The sequence below is a fragment of the Homo sapiens genome, chromosome 10 (assembly GCF_000001405.40).
Source record: "Homo sapiens chromosome 10, GRCh38.p14 Primary Assembly".
NCBI lineage: Eukaryota > Metazoa > Chordata > Mammalia > Primates > Hominidae > Homo > Homo sapiens.
This window is the reverse complement of record NC_000010.11, coordinates 126,520,080-126,541,008: the sequence shown is the minus strand read 5'-3', so window position 1 is coordinate 126,541,008 and position 20,929 is coordinate 126,520,080. Positions and strand designations below refer to the sequence as shown.

Sequence of the window (20,929 nt, the reverse complement as noted above, 5' to 3'; positions counted from 1 at the left end):
GAAAATTTCACTTTTTTATATTTATACTTTAAATGCATTTTAAATTTAGTTTGGTGTATGGCTTTAAATATGGACTATAACATTATCCCCAAACAGATTACGAATATTATACGCAAATATTCCTTTTGATTTAAAATATTCCTTTCATAAACTAAATTCCCAAATATACATGGATGTCTCACTCTGTTTTCTTCCATGGATCTATCCATCTCTTCCTGTGCTGAGACCACACTGTTTTACTTAATACTGCCTTAGTGTAGGTTTCGATATGCAGTATGGCAGTAGTCCTCTCTCATTGTATGTTCTCACTAACTATCTTGGTTCTTTTTTTTTTTTTTTTTTTAGACAAGGTCTCACTTTGTCACCCTGTCTCCCAGGTTGGAGTGTAGTGACATGATCTCAGCTCACTGCACCGTCTGGCTCCCAGGCTCAAGTGATTCTTCTACCTTAGCCTCCTGAGTAGCTGGGACGGTAGGCACGTGGCACCACGCTTGACCAACTTTTTAACTTTTTGTAGAGATGGGATCTCACTGTGTTGCCCAGGCTGGTCTCAAACTCCTGGGCTCAAGTGATCCTCCTGTCTTGGCCTCTCAAAGTGTTGGGATTACAGGTATGAGCCACTGCACCCAGCCTTTGGTTATTCTTATGGATTCTGTCTTCCACTTCAATTTATAAATCTAATTGTCAAGTTTTTGATTAAATCTGGAATTTCATAAATTAACTTGGGCAGGTATGACTTTACAGTTTTTACTTTTTCATCTAGAAAGATGTTAAGTCTTCTCATTCATTAAGTTCTCCTTTTATTTCCTCCACTATAATTTTATGATACTTTTGATACAGGTCTTGCATATTTGATGTTAGATGTCTTCCTGCAGGTCTTATAATTTTGTTGCCATTGTTAATTTTTTCTCCTGATATTTTCTAATTGATTGTTACTGCTCTTTATGAAAGTTATTTATTCTTGGAGGCTGCTTTGATTCTGGCTAAACTATTCAACACTCCTAGTAGTTCTAACTGCTTTTCAGTTAAAACCCTTGGATTTACAGGTAGATAATTATATCACCTGAAATAGTGATCTTCCATTCCAGCTTCGTGCCTCTTTCTTTGCAATCTTTCTGTGTTAGCAGCACCCCTAGTAAGCCTGGGAATGCTTGCCTCTTCCTAGCATCTAAAGTTTTATTATTTAGCATTTCATGGTTCATCACAAGAAATTTCATTGTTTATATGAAATTAAAAAATTCACAAGTCATGCAACGTATTTAATAACTATTTGCTGGAAAAAGTTAATTTACAAACTTTTCCAAATATATTAGCCTTAGAAGTTTGCCCATTTTATAGAAATCACAAAATAAGTATTATATTTCTTTTGCTTTATTAAAGTTTTTTTCCCTAGGTTTTAGAACTTAGTCATCTCATTCATATTATATTTATGGAACGAATTTATTTCTGTAGTAGTTTGGCTGAAGGTCTGTGTGAATAGAAGAATCACTAAAATGCATTTATTCATATGGCCTCTCATTTTAACTAGCATGGTACATGGCAGTAGCTTCTTTGATATGAAAGCTTCACTCCTGCCATAAAACGCTACTGCAGAGACTCCCATTAACAATCAAGAATCCTTTCACACACATCCTCCCCCCATATGTTTAGTTTTATAAACACAGTGACCTTGTTTGCAGTATAAATTCACCTTCACCTGTCTGTAATAATTTTAGCCTCTCTCTGCTGTGGAACAGAACCCTAGCATGGATTCCACTCACAGCCGATTTGCTTTTCCTGCTAAAGGCGCTAATTCAAATGGGTTGCTGCGCATTCCAAAAGTGAAAAATTCCTTCTGAAGTCTCCTGATCTGCCACTGCGGTGGAAAGGTCCCTGCCTGCTGTCTTGCTCTGAGCTGGGACTGTGGGGACTGTGGGGGCTGCCTCCAGGCTCTTTCTCCCCATGGCCCTGCAGCTGGGGATGTTTAATCAACTTCAAAGCTAATTTTGCTCCAGGCCCAGCTTTATGCAGCAGAAATCTCTTGCCCATCAGCCAAGGACCAGTTCCTGGCTCCAGCTCAGCTGGCATGCCTCACTTCAACATATTAAATATTTCATCGTGCCTTGGCATTGGGGTTTCCCTGGCCTGGTTAGCAATTAGCTGTGCTTTTAGCTACTTTTGGAGGAAACCCTTCATGATCAGGTGATGGGAGCCATATCTAGAATAAGCAGAGGTAGAATGGTACAGGGTTAAGCATGGGCTTCCAAGGCATCCAACTTGGGTTTGAATTCTAGTTCCTTCACTTTGGAGCTGTGGGATGTCGAACAAGTTACTCACTCCTCTGAGTCACATATTCCCTCTGCGTTAAATATGGTTAATCAAACATGGATTTGCTGGAGGAGTTATAGGAGAAGGGGAAAGGATACACCTATTAACAACACGTGGCAAGTGGTAAACCTTTGTGTTAGTTTCATAGGACTGCCGTAGCAAAGCACCATGCACTTGGCAGCTTAAGCAACAGGCATTTATTGATGCACAGTTCTGGAGGTTAGGAGTCTGACATCAAGATGTTGGTCCCTTCTGAGGGCCATGCAGAAGAATCTGTTCCATGTCTCTCTCCTAGTTTCCTGTGGTTCGATGACAATCCTTGGTGGCTGGCAAAAGCATCATTGATATGGTTTGACTGTGTCCCCACCCAAATCTCATCTTGAATTGTAGCTACCATAATCCCTACATGTTGTGGGAGGTAATTGAATCATGAGGTGGGTCTTTCCCATGCTGTTCTCATGACAGTTAGTAAGTCTCATAAGATCTGATGGTTTTATAAAAGGGAGTTCCCCTGAACACACTCTCTTGCCTGCCGCCATGTGGATGTGCCTTTCTCCTTTTTTGCCTTCCACCATGATTGTGAGGCCTCCCCAGCCATGTGGAACTGGGAGTCCATTAAACCTCTTTCCTTTGTAAATTACCCAGTCTTAGATATATCTTTATTAGCAGTGTGAGAACTAATACAATCACCCCAATCCTTGCCTTCATTTTTACGTGGCTTTCTTCCACTGTATGTCTGTTTCTAAATGTTCCCTTTTCTGTACAATAGTCACATTGGGTTAGGGCCCACTCTAACGACCTCATTTTAACTTGATTACCCCTGCAACAATCCTCTTTCAAATAAGATCACATTCTGAGGTACTGGGGGTTAGGATTTCAACAGAGGAATTTTGAGGGGATGCAATTCAACCCATAACAGCATTCAATAAATATTATCAGTTAAAAATTTCCAATAGTAAGTTGAAACCTGGGAATTACCTTCAGATGAAAGAGCACTATCTCTCCTGGGCTGTAGAATTTCTTGGGATCCAGAGAACTCTTTAGACAGCAAAGAGTATATTTCTGTCAAGCTGAGCTATAAGAGAACTTAAAAAGTGGTGAGAAATCCAAGGATCCTAATCTTGGAGGAAAACAACCTTCGAAGCTCAGACCCGAGGCTTTTGCATTGGTCAAAGGCCCAAGCGGGAAAGAGAGGACTCCCCGGGCAGCTCTTTACTTTGGTAGCTGCAGGCAGCAGCTGTCTATTAAAGATGTTCCGTTTTCAGAAGATAAAGTTAACCAGCAGGAGTTTTGGGGGGCTAGGTTGCTAGGCAATAGCTTTCTCATTTTCTAGGAAGGCCATAAACTGTCTCATTCCACCTGTTCAAACATCTCTTTTTAGGTAAAGGCTACATTTAGAGAACTGAGGATAATTTAAAGCTTCTTTTTGCAGAAGGAAGGGGAATTTATATGTGTCATCAGTCACATAAACCCTCCTGTTGGAAATGACATGGTAGCCATTTCCTTTGTTGCTTCTGGGCTATTTTTCTTATTGAATCGTGTAAGGGCATCAGGGTGATTTGACTGCTGGGCCTTAGCAGGAGAAGGGGAAGTTAAGGATCTGTGGACTGCAAAGTTTATGTGTGATATCAAGCCTGGCTCCTTTACTTTCAAATTTCAAGTGCTAGTGATAAAAAAGCAATTACCTGTTATCTTTTGTTGGAAAAGAAGATAAGCACCAAACCCACTTACAGTCCTCTTTATTTTTACTTTCCTGTGTTTGTTTAATCTCAGGTGTTCCTATTGCAGGTTCCACAGAGTTGGCAGGGTGGTGGTTGACTTACCCAATCCAGCCCTCAGAAGCTTCATGTTTTAGGGGAAGCACAAAGTCCACGTGATCAAGCAGCCCTGAGCCTCCTTGTGTGGCCAGGTCTCCGGCTGGGAGATTTTCAGGGCTGCCTTTGAATGGGAAACATTTTTATCAGACTTGCGAGGGCCCCAAATGAATTCAAGAACAATTTTGTCTGTAGAAACACAAATGCAGCTTTCCTCACTGGTTCATGGAAGACAGTCTTGGTGTGGAGAGCACCAAAGCTAAAACCTTTCCTTTCCTTGATGCCAGTGTAGCTTGGTGGGACAGCTTGGGTCTGGAGTCAGGCAGTCTGGGTCGAACTCCCTGTCTCTTAGCTGGTTGCTTAGCTGCTCCAACCCTGTGCTTCTCTTTCTTTAAAATGGGGATCTTTCCGCCAAGGAACTAGGCAATCGTGAGGCCTGGGATGATCCATCTGAGGTCCTTACGCAGATAGTACGCAGTAGTCAGGAAAGGAAAGTAGTCTTGCCGTTTCCTGAAATCTTGGACAGCGCCAAGCTCCAGCTAATTGCTGAGGCAGCAGTGTGGGGAGAGTCATCTGTGTTTTACCATGACAGGGAGATGCTTCCTTACCCTCCTCCGCGACCTGCTACCACCATCCTAATGGGCTCTTCCCCAAGTTCAAAGTAGTATCAAAAGCCCATATCCACGTGTGTGTGTGGAGGGGGTTGGGCGGGCATCTTGCATCCAATGGCAGAGCTGATTGTCCCTGTCGAAGGAGGCCCACTGTTCCCATGCAGTGCACCGTGGCCACAGAGGACCCCTGGGAGACCCAAATCTTGCGGATGGTGGGCGTGTACTGTCTTAGCCACGTCCCTTTTGATGGCCCTTTATAAGGGCTGAGCCTTTGTTCCACACAAGTGGAAAAAAACTTCAGTGCACATCTAGATTCTGCTCCACCTGCCCCGTAACGATGGACTCTCTGCACTGACGTCAGATGGTTCTTGGAGAAGAGAAACCCTGAGCAGGGATTCCAGTGCGCACTCCTAGCGTGGGCCTGAGCTGGAAGTGCAGGGGCAGCTCTGCTTCATAGGGGGTTTTATGGCTCATTGTTATCCATGCTGTGCTCTCTAATGAGGGTGTTCAGAAAGGAAAAGCTCGGCTGGCTAAGGCAGAGGAGAGCTCTTCGCTGTCACCTGTGGAAGAAACGGCCATTTTTCTCCACGTTTATTTCCACTGGGGAGAGCTAAGACAAATTTTTTTTTAATTATTATACATTAAGTTCTAGGGTACATGTGCACAACGTGCAGGTTTGTTACATATGTATCCATGTGCCATGTTGGTGTGCTGCACTCATTAACTTGTCGGACAGAAGACAATTTTTTTTTTTTTTTTTGAGACAGCGTCTGGCTCTGTTGCCCAGGCTGGAGTGCAGTGGCGTGATCTCAGCTCACTGCAAGCTCCACCTCCCAGGTTCACGCCACTCTCCTACCTCAGCCTCCCACGTAGCTGGGACTACAGGCACCCGCCACCACACCCAGCTAATTTTTTGTACTTTTAGTAGACACGGGATTTCACCTTGTTAGCCAGGATGGTCTCAATCTCCTGACCTCGTGATCCGCCTGCCTCGGCCTCCCAAAGTGCTGGGATTACAGGCGTGACCCACCACACCCAGCTGACAAATTTTTTAAAAATGAAAAAAAAATACAATTTTGTGTGAATCTCTCTCTCTCTCTAAACATACACACACATATATGTATATATATGTATGTGTGTGTGTATGTATATATATTTATCAGAATCCCTGCTACCAGGGGTTTACATTGTGAATACTTCTCTCACAATCTCACAATATATTCAAAGATCTGTTTTAAAATTTCCTGGGGTGATAATATGTGGCTCTTTCATGAATGTGGTCTCAGATGCTCTGAGCAAACCACCTAGGTCTCAGCTCCTGAAGGAGTGAGGTGGGAAGTGGCCCACTGCTGCCAGGAGGCGGGTGCTAATGGAGTGAGTGTGACCTCCATGGAGGCCATCACGGGAAACAAATGCGAGTGCAGAGCTCGCAGGTCTGTTGAAAGGCAGCACCATCTTCCCACTACGCGGAAACAAGAGATTCCAAAGCCACCGCTTGCTCCCCATTCCTTCAATTTGCTGAGGGTGTAGGGAAAGCAGAAGAAACACACAAACCCAGAGTCCATTTCTAGAATTCTGACATACGGAGTAGAAAAATGAAGGTGGCCCGGACCCAATGGTGATATCATCTTCTCTTCCTTTGGAAGTGGAAGAAGGATATGGGAGAGCTTTTTCTGTAGACATCATGGAAATGGAGGATGTGCTTTTTGGATCTTGCTCAATGACAACAATGATACTCCCATAAAAGGAGAGAGCAGGTCACCCAAACACTGCAGGAGCCTCTTTCGGGAAAAATATCTTTCAGACAGATCCTAAGGACTAAGAGAATTGGAGAGAAAGATGTCCACTTACAACTCTAAGAGCAGAGGCACTGTGAAAAATGGCAGGCATTGACACCATAGAAACAGAAATGGCAGAGAAGAGATGAGCAGAAATTCTTAAGTGGCAAAGCCAGAGAAGTCATTTGGACACAGAGCATAGGAGTTCTGAGGCCCACATTGGAAGCACAGAGTACAAGCAGCCAAGAAACCTGAGTTTGGCACAAGCAGGTAAGCTCTGCAGTGTTATGGTTGGAGGTGGGTTCTGCACCCTGGCTGTGCAATGCAGAGGGTTCTCGAGGAAAGCTGATCTCATTGGGGCAAGATGAAATCCTCAGCCTGAAGGGCTGGCAGTTCCAAGGGAGGACAGGAGGACAGGGAAGAGCAGATTCCTCCTTCTCATAATGGATCCTCACATCTCCTCCTCCCTCTTCTCTATGTGTACAGCAATTTTGGAGGCTTTGGTCTAATGCGGCTCCAGCTTGCACGGGGTTCCTGGTCTCAGTGGCAAGGTGCCACCCAAACACTCTGGATTGGGTCCACTCCCGAAGATCCAGCATTTGTAATTCAGCCCAGTTCAGCAAACATTTAATTAGCTCTCATACCTATTGGCAGCTGCCACTTGTTAGCTTCTGCAATGTGCCAGGCACTTGTGCTAAGAGCATTTGATGCCTTAAACAATTCCCTAAAGTGAGCGTGATGTGTATTCTCATTTCGCAGGCAGGACACAGGCTCTGAGGGGTTAACTTGACTGAAGTCAAACCTGGCCTTGGGTCCTTTACTGTCTGAGCTCATATCTCCTTGTTATTTCCCCATGTCCAGAATTAGGCAATGAGGACTCAAATGTGGGGGCTCCCGTCCCCAAGAGGGTTAGAGTCCATCCAGGGGAATGACCACCCAATCACCCAATTGCTACAATACAATGTGCCCTGAAAACAGGACTGGTTTGTTTTGTCCAGGGACAAAAAGTTCTGAAACAATTTGAGCTGGTTTTTACATGATAAGACAGATTTCCTTGAGTTTAAACGGACTGGTCTCACTTCTGTGTTCAAGGAACGTAGGAATGCTATCACCTTGATCTTAATTTTTCAGGGCTAAAATATGTATGACATGGCTGGGAAGAGATTTAAGCACAAGCATATTATCTATGAAGCCAAGAGAGAAGCCCACAAGTATACTGTTGAAAGTCCCACTGGGTTGATGTGAGGCTTGATAATACAATAGCAGGCCGGGTGCTGTGGCTCCCGCCTGTAATCCCAGCACTTTGGGAGGCCGAGGCAGGCGGATCACGAGGTCAGGAGATCGGGAACATCCTGGCTAACATGGTGAAACCCCATCTCTACTAAAAATACAAAAAACATTAGCCGGGCGTGGTGGCGGGTTCCTGTAGTCCCAGCTACTCCGGAGGCTGAGGCAGGAGAATGACGTGAACCCGGGAGGTGGAGCTTGCAGTGAGCCGAGATAGCGCCACTGCACTCCAGCCTGGGCGACAGAGCGAGACTCCGTCTCAAAAAATAAATAAATAAATAATAATAATAATAATACAGTAGCAAGCCTTTATTTTATTTTAGATTTTTGAAAACACTTGTTTTGTGCTCACTATTTTTTTTTTTTTTTGAGACGTAGTCTCGCTCTGTTGCCCAGACTGGAGCTGGAGTGCAGTGGCGCGATCTCGGCTCACTGCAATCTCCGCCTCCCGGGTTCACGCCATTCTCCTGCCTCACCCTCCGGAGTAGCTGGGACTACAGGCACCCGCCACCATGCCCGGCTAATTTTTTGTATTTTTAGTAGAGACGGGGTTTCACCGTGTTAGCCAGGATGGTCTCGATTTCCTGACCTCGTGATCTGCCCTCCTCGGCCTCCCAAAGTGCAGGGACTATAGGCGTGAGCCACCGCGCCCGGCCATGTGCTCACTCTTTATATGAGTCCAAACCTTACTTATCGGGGGTTCATTTGAGAGTGATGCCACTTTGATTAAACTCTGTAAAACCCACTGGCCAAAGCTCAGAGACCATGAGGGAGCTGTCTTCTCTGAGGTTTCTGGGACCAAGAAACAGGATAGGGAATGGGAGAAAGATGCAATTGTGATGCCAGCCACTGGAATCAGGGCCTCAGACCCCAGACTCTGTGGCCTCTTAGACGATCACATTTACAATGAGGAGACAGTTTACACACTGAGCATTTGATACCGCCCAAGAGGATCATCACAAAGTTACCCACCATCCACAGATAGAGCCACAGGTCAAGTTAGGGACATGGCAGGCTGAGATGCAATGAGATGGAAGAAAACCAGACTTAGCCCTGGCAGGTTGGAGGCATATCTGGAAAAGGTGGAAGTCCATGCTAGCTCCAGAGCTAAGTTGTATATGATCGGGGAGTTCATTGCCCTGGATGTGGGGGGCAACTGCCTAAGTTTATATGCTACACACAGCTACCCAGAAACTAACCAAATGTGTGTGATTTCCAACCCAGTTAGGGTAGTTAAATATTCGGTAACTCCATTTTATATTGGATTGGTTGTCTTTTTATTATTAAATTGTAGGGGTTCATTATACATCCTGGATATCTGTCCTTTGTCAGAAATATGGCTTGCAAATATTTTATCCCAGTCTGTGGCTTCCCTTTTTATTTTCTTAACAGTTTCTCCTTATGAATCGAAGTTTTAAACTTTAATGCAGTCTAATTTACCTTCTTTTTCTTTTATAGTTGTTATTTTCTGGGTGCAAGAAAACTTTGCCTCCTCAGTTTACAAAGATATCCTGCTCTATTTTCTTCTAAAAGCCTTATAGTTTTAATGTTAGAGCAAGGTCTGTGATTTTTTTCAAGTTAATTTTTGTGAAGCATTTGAGGTAAGAGTTGAGGCATATTATTCTTCAGTGGAATATCCAGTTGTTCCAGCATCATTCTTGGGATAAACTCTACTTGGTTGGGATAAATATATCTTGTTTATACATTGTTGGATTTTATTTCTGATCTTTTGTTAAGGCTTTTTGTGTCTATGTCAGGGTTTCTCATCCTCAGAACTGTTGACCCTTTGGGCCTAACAATCCTTTGTCATGGGGCTGTCCCGTGCATCCTCAGGGGTTTCGCAGCACCCCTGATTGCTTTAGCGTCTACCCACCAATGCCAGTTGCATTCTCCCACAAAGGTGACAACCAAAAATGTCTCCAGACATTGCCAAATGTCCCCTGGGCAGCAAAATCAACCCCAGCTGAGAGCTGTTGATCTATGTTCATGAGAGATCTTTGATCTGTAATTTTCTTTTTTCTTTCTTTTTTTTTTTTTTCAGATGGAGTCTCACTCTTTTGGCCAGGCTGGAGTGCAGTGATGTGATCTCAGCTCACTGCAACTTCTGCCACCCAGGTTGAAGCAATTCTCCTGCCTCAGCCTCCTGAGTAGCTGGGATTACAGGCACCCGCCACCACACCCGGCTAATTTTTGTATTTTTAGTAGAGACAGGGTTTCACCATGTTGGCCAGGCTGGTCTTGAACTCCTGGCCTCAAGTGATCCACCTGCCATGGCCTCCCAAAGTGCTGGGATTACAGGCGTGAGCCACCGCGCCTGGCCTGATCTGTAATTTTCATTTTTTCTTTCTCCCTCTCTCTTTTGCTTTTTTTGTTTTGTTTTGTTTTTTTCTCTTTATCAGCTTTTGCAGTTAGGCTTTTGTTAGCCTCCTCTATTTTCTTATGTTTTGTAGGGTTGGCATGTTTTCTTCCTGAAAAGTTTGATAGAATTCATCTTTCCCGCATGTGCCTGCAGGCTGCCTGGGCTCGGTTTGGTTTCTTCCTTCTCATTCTATCTTATTCTATCCCTTTCATTTTCTTGTCTCCAGTGAGGCTACCTGAATCTGGCATGTTCTTTATGGGACGATTTTTGATAATGGGTCAATTCTTTAATAGATATAGGGGTCCTAATACTTTCTGTTTCATATTGTATCATTTTGGTAAGGTATTTTTTTTCAAGCAATTTGTATATTTTTTTCTAAGTTGAATTTATTCACATAAAAGTTATTCATAATGTTCTCTTATTATCCTTTTCATGTCTGTAGTCTCTGCAGTGATGTCTCTCTTATTCCTGACAATAGAAATTTCTGTGTGTTTTAAATTTTTTTCTTGACTGATTTGTTTTTTTTTAAGAACTGCCTTTTAACTTTGTCAAGTTTTTCTATCATTTCTTTTCTGTTTTATTGATTGATTATTTTCTGTTTCCATTCTTATTTTGGTTTGCTTTTTCTCATCCATGTTAATGTGCATACGTATAGTTTATTCATTTTCACTGATAGATAGTTGAATATTTCACAATTTATTTATAAATCCTCTTGTCAAAGAACATTTTTGTTGTTTTCAGGGGCTTTTTTTGACACCATTAAAAACTGATGCAATAAACAGTCTTATATATCCCAGTGCAAATGTACAAGAGGTTTTTTAATGTAGATACTACATTTCATTTAGTTTAAGATCCATTTTTTTACATTTCAATATCTCTGAAACCAGAATATGTATTAAAATTAATGACATCTTAGAGTATAATTAGCAGCTTTTTATTCCTTGATGATACATTTGTAAATGGCACATCTTAATGCAGTATTAGATTTTGATGGAATATTGTAAATAAGAGCAGAATTGCTAGATGTTAGGTATTTTCATCTTTCTGTTGACCAGGTTACTCTCCATAGTGATCGTATTAGTTGCTGCTTGCTGATCACACATGGGAACTCCTGTTGTCTGATGTCCTCACCAATATTTAATATCACTGATTTTTTGCCAATCTGGGTAGATGCGGAATGGTCTCTTATTGTCATTTTATTTTGCCTTTCTCTCTTTACTAATGAGGTTGAATATCTTTTCAGTTGCTTAGGGAAAAATATGATTCTATTGAGAAATGCCTATTTTGTCTTTGCTTATTTTTCCATTGAGTTGCTGTTCTTTCTCAAATTAATTTACGGGGGGTTTTAAAATTAGTTTTAAATAACCATAATAACCCTTTGTCTGTTATATGGGTTACAAACATCTTTTTCTAAATTGTGGCTTGCCTCCTCTCTTTATGGAATCTTTTGATGATCAGAAATTATTACAGTAAAAATGATTGAAATTATCAAACTTTTATTTAATGGTGTTTGTCTTTGGGAATATTCTAAAGACATCCTTTCCTATTCAGGATCATGAAAATATTAACTATTTTATCTTTAAAGAATGTTTTAAAGTTTTACCTTTTGCGTTTAAGGTTTTAGATTATCTGGAGTTGATTTGTAGGTATGGTAAGGAAAAGGTGTCTAATTTTGGTTTTTAAAATAATGGTAGCTAATTGTCCCAGCGTAATTTATTGTAGTTTGTAAAATGTTGTGTTTATTGTGTATATCCACTGACAGATAGTCTCACCTCATTATTTTTCACATTTCCATATATGTGAGGGTCTCTTTTTGGGTTCCTTATTCTTTTCCACTAGCCTGTTTTTGTTTATTTCTGTAGCAATGACCTACCTTTCTTCTCACCTTTATAATAAGTTTTGATATCTGATAGGGCAGATCCCTGGCTACGTCTGCCTTTGTAGATCTACCTTTCTCCAAATGGCAGTCTTGTTGATAACTGCTGCCTACCTAGGTTTGACTTATCCTCTCCCGCTCACACATACAAAGGGGCTGCTGTTGTCTGGTGCACAGAGAACTCCACAGTGAGCTGAGAAGCAGCATTGCAGGCTGTGGGAATGTCCTCTAAGAAGGACCTGAGAGTCCAGCCTCAGGTCCAGATGGGGTCAGGGTTATTGAGCCCATTTCGCAGATGAGGAAACCAAGAGGAGGTAAGTGACTCGCTTGGCTCCCAGTGCTGGGCCGTGGTGGAGCTGGCCTTGATCACGGTCCAGCTGGGTATTGCCACTGCAGAATTGCTGACCTCTAAATAGAACCGTGTTTCTCATGATCTCAGAACTTCATTTACTCAAATGAGTTTCGCCACCACGCTTCAGAAGCATTCTTTAGCCTAGGCTAGCAGTTTTCCTGTAAATCAGTCTCATGTTCAGCCCCACTCAGCCCTGTTGGACCTGTTTTTCAAGCATCAAGAGGTTCATTCCTTGCTCTTTCTTCCCACACACGCTTCTCCTTTTTTTTATACTTAAATAATTATTTTGATGCTTCTAAAACTCCCCAAGATTAGTAAGTGTATTTATTGGTAAGTATTATCTCTCTCTTTGTCTAGATATCTGGAAATGCTAAATCTGGTGTTCGCTCCTTCTTTTTCCTGTTCCTGAGGCCTGGTTGACCCGCGGCCTATGGCTTCTCAGGCACCTCTCCTTCCCCGTCTCTCTCTACATAGCAGAGACAAAGGAAAGGCCATACTGGGACCTGGCAGGAGAGCTGTAATTAGTGAAGCTAATGCTTTGTCTCACTCTAAAGTTCAAGTTCATTAGTGAAACTTCCTTTATCTTGTCTTCCTGGTTTCTGGTTTCTGATGAGCTCGTACTTATTTTGCAATCAAGGGTAAAAATGTTAAATTATAATAGTAACTAGCATCATTAACTTTTTAAAGAAAGTTAACTGCACATAAGCTCCACAAGGGCAGAGACTTTTCTGGCTGTTTTGCTCATGCCGTGACTTTGATACCTGGACCAATGCCTGGCCCATGGTCAATGCTATCTAAATATTTGCCGGATAAATAAAAAATAAATTGTATTAGGTGCTTCCTACATGCCAGGCAGCGTGCTAAGGGCTTTCTATGTGTCTTCTTTCTTAGCTCTCATAATAATCTGATGAAATAGACATCACAATCCCTGTTTCGCAGATGGGGAAGCTGAGGCCTAGAGAAGTTAGGTGACTTGTCTAAGTCACAGATTTTATAAGTGACCAAGCTAGATGCAAACCCATGTCTGTGGGACACCAAAGAACATTCTCTCAGCCCCCTTGTCAGAAATGACAGAAATGCTCTGCCATTGAAGGTGCAGAGATACGAGATGCTGCCTTACGGAGTCTGAGAATCGTCACTGCTTCTTTCACTCATTGGCAGGGGTAGGGAGGCGTCATTAAGCACCTTTTCCCCAGAAATCCTAAGAAAAGACAAACAGCCCAGTTATAAAATGAGCAAAGGATCTGGATAGACATTTTTCCAAAGAAGAAAGGCAAATGGCCAATAAGCACATGAAAAGATGCTCCACATCATTAGCCATTAGGGAAATGCAAATCAAAACCACAATGAGATACCACTTCACACCCGCTGGAATGGCTATAATCCAAAAGACGACAATAACAACTGTGAGGAAGGCTGGCGAAAAATGAAACCCTCATACATCGCTGGTGGGAATGCAAAATGGTACACTTTGGGAAACAGTCTGGCAATTCCTCAAATTTAAATGTGGTATGTGGTGTGATCATACGACACGGCAATTCCACTCCTAGGTTATGTATAAGAATAGAACACATATATCACTCAAAAACTTGTGCATGAATTTTCACAGTAGTAGTATTATAAACCCACAGGGGGAACAACTCAAGTGTCCATCAGCTGTTGAAGAGATGCAACATAGGTGGTCTACCTATGCCCTGGAATATTATTCAGCCTTAAGAAGCAAGGATGTCCTGATACGTGTTATAGCATAGATGAACTTTGAAAGCATTATGATAAGCAGAAGAAGCCAGAAACAAAAGCCCACATATTATATGATTCAATTTATAGGATATGTCCAGAATGGATAACTCCAGAGAGAGACAGTTGTTGAGTGGTTGCCAGGGGCTGAGGTCAAGGGATCATGTGGAGTGCTACTAACAGGTATGGGACTTCTTTTGGGGATGATGAAAATGTTCTGGAATTTGGTGATGGTTGCATAACTTGGTGAATATACAAAAACCACGGAATTGTGCACTTTAAAAGGGTAAACTGTATGGCTTGTAAATTATATCTCAATAAAGCTGTTATTAAAAAAATTAGTTGGCCAGGTGCGGTGGCTCACACCTGTAATCCCAGCACTTTGGGAGGCCGAGGCGGGCGGATCACGAGGTCAGGAGATCGAGACCATCCTGGCTAACACGGTGAAACCCCATCTCTACTAAAAATATAAAAAATTAGCCGGGTGTGGTGGTGGGTGCCTGTAGTCCCAGCTGCTTGGGAGGCTGAGGCAGGAGAATGGCGTGAGCCTGGGAGGCGGAGCTTGCAGCAAGCCGAGATTGCACCACTGCACTCCAGCCTGAACGACAGAGTGAGACTGAGTCTCAAAAAAAAAAAAAAAAAGTCAATTGCAGAGAGAGAAGAGATCATCTCAGGCCATCAGGAAGGGCTGTGTTTAGAAGAGAATGTAACTAAAAGTCAGAGACATGGGGACCTCTCTTAGACTTGACTGAGGGAGCCTGACTTTGTGACTTCCTAGCTGGGGCCTCTCTGGAGAGCCCTGCCCCTCTTTGCCTCTGCTTCTTTTGTGTGTGTGTGTGTGTGTGTGTGTGTGTGTGTGTGTGTTGTGGCAGGTGTGGACAAGCTATTTAGGCAGCTTTGGATTCTTATGTGCCTACCCATTTAAGAGGACGGTTTCCCTGTTCTTGCCTAAATTGAAGGTCTGCTATACAGCAGGGAATAGCAGAAGACAGGCAGTGCAGGGCTCCTTGCTCCATTAAACAACAACAACAGCAAAAACAAAAAGCCAAAGAACTCAAAACCAAACCCACACCAGGGAGAAGAACAACCTTGTTCTAATTGTCTGGCTTTGCTGATAAGCCGTTGGAGAGTTCTGTAGAGAGGCCACTTTGAGTTTCTAAGTGGGGACACAGGATAATGGCAGTGGTGTGAACATCTTGAGCCTGGGTTTTTCCTTTGATGCTAGGCTCTCGGACCATGTCCAGTTTCAGTGTCTCTCCAGACCCCCGATGTGCAGCGTGTGGCTAATGGCTCTTATAATGAGAGATTTACAACTTGGGCTTTCACATGCTGCCCCAACCTCATTTGTCCAGCTCACGGCGGAGCCTGTAATCATCTCTGCAGGCTCCGGCTCTGGGCTCTAGACATTCTGCTCCGGCCAATTCAGCTGAACAGATGAGAGACAAGAAGCCCCACAGTCCCACAAACAAGAATCACATTGTTGCTGGGGAAGGAGAGGAAATCCATTCTGACATCTTATGAAAATATTTTTGTGTCTTGTTTACATAATGAATCTGTCTGTTAACGAAAGAATCTGAGGTGACAAATTCTTTGGTCTCACCGACGTGTGTGGCTTTGCAGTGGGCCGAATGCGCCTCCAGATCCTCTTCTGCAGGAAGTTTCAAGGACGTCCCATTTTTCTTCCTGGTGGGTTGCTTGTTCACCAGTCCTGAACTAAAAGCAAATAATTCATCCGTGCTCATCCTACAGAAAGTTGCCTGACTAACGGGTCTGGTAATTGGGACCCTGTTGCAGCATGGATCTCCCTTAGGGGGAAGCTGGGGTGGCAGTTGAGGGTGGCATCTCTTTCTGGCCACTCTTGTCCACAGAAGCATCCCAATTTTCTGCCACCCACCTGCAAGGGCAGAAATGGTCCCCTCTGAAATCAAACCACACTATGACTTTCAATACTATGTAATAATGATGCTTGTTCAGTGAGCTTGACAAAGGAGGGAGTACATAGTGATGGAAATAATGGCGTTTTCCACTTAATGGGAGAAGCAAGCTAAAGTGGAGACTGCCTCCCTCTCACACATGCCCTCCCTCGATGGCCCCCAGCTCTTGTAGGACAAGCCCTCATGGCAGAGCTAGATGGCACCCTAGGGGCCATACAGGTGCGTGCACTCCTTGCCTCGCGGATGAGGAAGATGAGCCCAGAGGAGGAGCTGACATGGCTGAGTGGCCAGGTGGGATCTGGAGCCTAGTGTCCTTGCCGTCTGGACCCCTCCCAGCATATCATGCTGTGTCCTACTAAGGCTCCCAAAATGGGGACAAACTTTTCATCTTTCAGCTTCTCCCAGTGCACCTTCTTGCTGCCTAAGCCCTGACTCTCTGCTTAGGTGAGGCTCCTAATTTCTTAGTCTTCCCAGCAGGATTCCTGTCCCCGCTACCCAGGCCTCAGTTCTCCCTGACCTGGGCTGCCTCCCAGCTCTGAAATCTTTCTGAGAGGAGAGTGCCTCCTCTTCCTGGCATATTGATGTCCACATTGAAGGTGTTTGGGTTGCACAACAGAGACTACCTGTGTCTAACTGCTTATATCCATCATGGTCTGAAAACAAGACCCTCATTCTTATATCCTCCTCCCTCTGCACATGTGGTCATGAAGGGAGGAAGGAATGTTTTTAAAGATGGTTTTAAGATTACTACCAAAATTATCTATCCAGAGATCTATCTCCTTGCCACCCCCACCCACCTCTCAAAACAAGAACTAGTTTGTGCTAAGAAAATATTATATAATAAGATCAAGAACCATAGCATGAAAGGCAAAAGACAATTCTTAAGAAGGAATTGAAATCAGAGACTTGGATACATGTTTGTACAACCATGTTCATTGCAGCATTATTTGTAATAGCTAAGCGGTGACTAGTGTCCACTGATGGATGTATGGATATGGATATTGTAGTATATACATTCAATAGCATATCATTTATCCTTAAAAAGGAAGGAAATTCTGACACATGCTACAACACGGATGAACCCTGAAGACATGCTAAGTGAAATAAGCCACACAAAGGCAAATACTGTATGATTCCATTTGTATAAGGTTCCTAGAGTAGGCAAATTTGTAGGAACTGACAGTAGAATGGTGGTTGTTAGGGGCTGGGGGAAGGTGGGAAGGGGGAGTTAGTGTTTAATGGGGAGAGAGTTTCTGTTTTGCAGGTTAAAGAGTTCTAGAGATGGATGATGGTAATGCTTGCATGTTAGGAAAGTATTTAATACCGCTGCACACTTAGAAATGATGAACATGGTACATTTTATGTGTATTTTATCACAGGTTTCAAAAAATGAGACAACTCATGAGAGAAAAGAAAATGGTCAGATCCGCAATGCATGGAAAAATATCTCTTTATGTGTGTCATCTCCTCAAGACTGTGAGTTCTTCCAAGACAGGGATTCCTTGTGTTCTCTGCATCTTTGCTGTCTCAGCACCCAACTCAGGCCCTCAAAAGTGCTATCTTCTCCATAAATGTTTGCTGCACTGAGATAGTGGCATGATCACATCAGTGCGGTACCCATGAGCGGGGTGCTTTCACGTGCATTATTGTATTTGGCTGTTGTCATCATCCTTGAGTCTGGTGCCCCTGCTCTGTCACCAGGAGAGACCCACACTCCAGCCACAGGGAAAGCAAAGCTGGAACAACCCACCCTGGCTGCCAAGGGCCAGAAGACTGTGCTTCACACTCCAGGGGTCTCAGATTCAGCTAGAGCCCAAGTGACCACAAAATTCAGTAGAATAGGCTTTTAAAATGTCTTTATTATAAACCATAATTTTCTGAGAGAGATGGAAACTATGTGTAAAACTGTATCTAATAACACACTGTTTTTTGAGGGAGCGTTCCATGATAGCACTGTGCTGAGCCCATGAAAACCTTTATTTGCCTCATTTAATAATTCCCAGCCCAACAAAGCCTATGCCAGCCTCTCTCTTACAGAGGAACAAACAGAGGCCAGGAGGTTACGTGGCTCGTCCAAGGCTAGACAGCATTAAAATGTGGTGGCACCAAGAGTCAACCTGGACCAGGCGTCAAAACTCAAGCTGTTCTACTTTTACCTTCTCCTAATCATGTACAGTGATTATTCATATTGCAAACTCGCAGCTTTAGTCTTACTGGAGGGGTGACACCTGGTAAGAGACTTAAATGGAGCTCAACTTCCTCATCTGTAAAATGAGTAGTCATAGTGCCCTCTCCACAAGGTCATTTCTTCCATTAAAGGAGATAACACCTGTCCAGCGTTTAGCAGGTGTGTGGCTCATGATAAACGTGCAATGCGTTTTAGCCATTATGACATGACGGAGACACTGACCAGACGCAAGGGGCTTGAGATTATCCAGTGAAATTTACATTTGTCTTGTGTTTGTGAAACTGCTTACAAAGCCACTATGCATTTATGTAATGACTGAGGCTTTATCCCAGGAGATAAAATGGCTCTCCTTATAAAATTGTGTATTTCATTGGAAAGGCAATAAGTTATGCAGTTTCTCACATTTCCCCTTTTGCTTCAGCAGTGGGGAACTCACCCTGTAGTTGTGATTCATCTGTACCAGTGCCATCTCTTTTTTTGTTTGTTTGTTTGTTTTTGAAATGGAGTTTCACTCTTGTTGCCCAGGCTGGAGTACAATGGTGCTATCTTGGCTCACCGCAACCTCTGCCTCCCAGGTTCAAGCGATTGTCCTGTCTCAGCCTCCCAAGTAGCTTGGATTACAGGCATGCGCCATCATGCCTGGCTAATTTTGTACTTTTAGTAGAGATGGGGTTTCTCCATGTTGGTCAGGCTGGTCTCGAACTTCTGACCTTAGGGGATCCACCCACCTTGGCCTCCCAAAGTGCTGGGATTACAGGCATGAGCCACCACGCCAGGCTGCCGGTGCTATCTTTAGCCCAGGCTTTTGGGTTTGAGTCAATGACTTCTCCAGCTCATTATGTGCTTTTTTTAAAAGTCAGTTTTACTGTTTTTAAACTGCATTATTAACTATAAGCTACCTCAAATTTGGTTGGGTATAAATTATAAAACAATGCTCATTATAATTTAGTGTCAAAGATATTTCACTAAATTGAAAACCAATCAGTCTTATAAGAGCTTGCATGGTAAACTGTTATATTGCTCAATTTTCTACATAAACCATTTGTAAAAAAATTGGTAACAAGTAGATTAATCACCAGTGTGACGTTATCTGGATGTATTTTAATACTAAGAAAACTTTTAAATAACTCTCATGCAAACTTGTTTTACTCATCAAAGAAGCCTCAAATGTAAACATCAAAGAGACGATTGCTGCTAACAAGAAATGTCACAAGGTGGGCTTGTATGCCACCTCCCCTGGTTGCCCTGTAAACATTCCGGTGACTTCATTACATATAGAGCTTTGAGGTTCTTTGGCCGAGGCTGGAAGGTGGAAGCCTGACTCATTCTGAGCCTAGCCACAGAGGTAAACTCCGGACATTTTTTTCTTTCATGTCGCCAAATACATCCTTGTCATTAAAAGACCTTTGAAACTGAGTAAAATGGCTTTGAAACCTCAGTAGAATATGCTCAAACTGTCTGGAGAAGGTATGTTCTAATTTTTTTCCACAGATATAACCCTTATTAAAATATAAAGTAATCTGTTCATTCTGTCCACGCTGAGTATCTTCTGGGCCCAGTACTGTATGAGGCCCCAGGGGAAAGGAGATGAACCAGGTATCTCTAAAGACCTGGGCCAACTTGGGGAGACACTCAGGAACAGATCATTACACAACAGCATGAAAAGGATGCACGGTAGCGCCTGTTGGGGGCGCTGGTGTGGGCTGGCTGAATAGTGTTCTGAAAAAGATACGTTCCAGGCCTAACCCCTGATCCCTGTGAATGTGACCTTATTGGGATAAGGGCCATTTGGATAAGGACCTTTGCAGATGTCATGGAGTTAAGATGAGGTCACACTGGAGTAGGGTGGGGCTTATGTCCAATGACTGGTGTCTTTATAAAGGAGAGAGTTTTGGAGGCACATTCAGGGAAGATGGCCATGTGCAGGTGGAGGCAGAGATTAGAGAGGGGCTGTCCCAAGCCGAGGGACACAGAGGATGCCAGACACCACGGGACACTGAGAAGGGCAAGGAAGGGTCCTCCCCTAGGGCCTTCAGAGGGAGCACGGTCCTGACACCTGGATTTCTGGCCTCCAGAACTGGGAAGGAGTAAATCCCTGTTGTATCCAGCTGCTCCCTTTGTAGTCACTTTTCACAGCAGCGCTGGGAACGAACGCAGGCACCAATCCAGCTTGGGGGCCATGTGGGGTAGCAGCGGATCGGGACTTCCTTCTAAGAGAAGCGATCTTGAGCCGTGTCACGGGTGAGGAGTTAGGAGTTAGCTCAGTGGGGAAAAGGTGAAGGCAGCACTCACGGTCATCAAGCCAGCCCCTGTGGGAAGCAGGCTGGGTTTAAGGATTTCTAACCTGGGCTCCTTGAACTCCCAGGGTCCCCCTACATGTGTGCTTCAATTTTGCACCTTTTCTTGGGGAGAAACGAATCCCTTGCATTTGAGTTTTGGAGGACCATGTGGCCTTCACGGTCACAAACTGGCAATGTCAAGAAGGTTTGGCAGGACCGGCTGGGAGATGAGGCTGGTGGGGTCACCAGCTTGATTGTGACCTTGCTGACACCAGCAGGGCAGGGAGGTGAACTGACGCAATGGAGCAGAGCCTTTGTCTCAGGAGCAAACCAGCCTTGGCTTTCAGTTGGATGTTGGAGGTGAGGGGGAGGGTGCAGAGTGGGCGCCTCTGTTTCTGATGAGGGCA

The 20,929-nt window shown here is 43.7% G+C and overlaps 1 protein-coding gene across 14 annotated transcripts in view, besides 1 other annotated feature; it reads left to right on the top strand.

The window, feature by feature from the left end:
• C10orf90 (chromosome 10 open reading frame 90) overlaps positions 1 to 20,929 on the top strand; it is a 245,697-nt gene that overhangs the window by 129,685 nt on the left and 95,083 nt on the right. For 2 of the 14 annotated variants that reach the window (NM_001004298.4, XM_047424557.1), the window contains exon 1: positions 19,568 to 19,710. The exons of 5 other annotated variants lie outside the window; for them this stretch is intronic. In NM_001004298.4, coding sequence (NP_001004298.2) covers positions 19,689 to 19,710 — 22 coding nt within the window. In that variant the 5' untranslated portion in view covers positions 19,568 to 19,688. 7 more of the 14 variants (XM_047424559.1, XM_047424560.1, XM_047424556.1 and 4 more) reach the window with 7 other exon arrangements.
• Positions 18,801 to 20,000: an enhancer, noted in NCBI's record as "BRD4-independent group 4 enhancer chr10:128209578-128210777 (GRCh37/hg19 assembly coordinates)". NCBI's record gives its function as "activates an origin of replication core promoter dependent on BRD2, P300/CBP, MED14 and CDK7 cofactors, and independent of BRD4, by STARR-seq in HCT116 cells {active_cell/tissue: HCT116}" and the evidence as "EXISTENCE:reporter gene assay evidence [ECO:0000049][PMID:35650434]".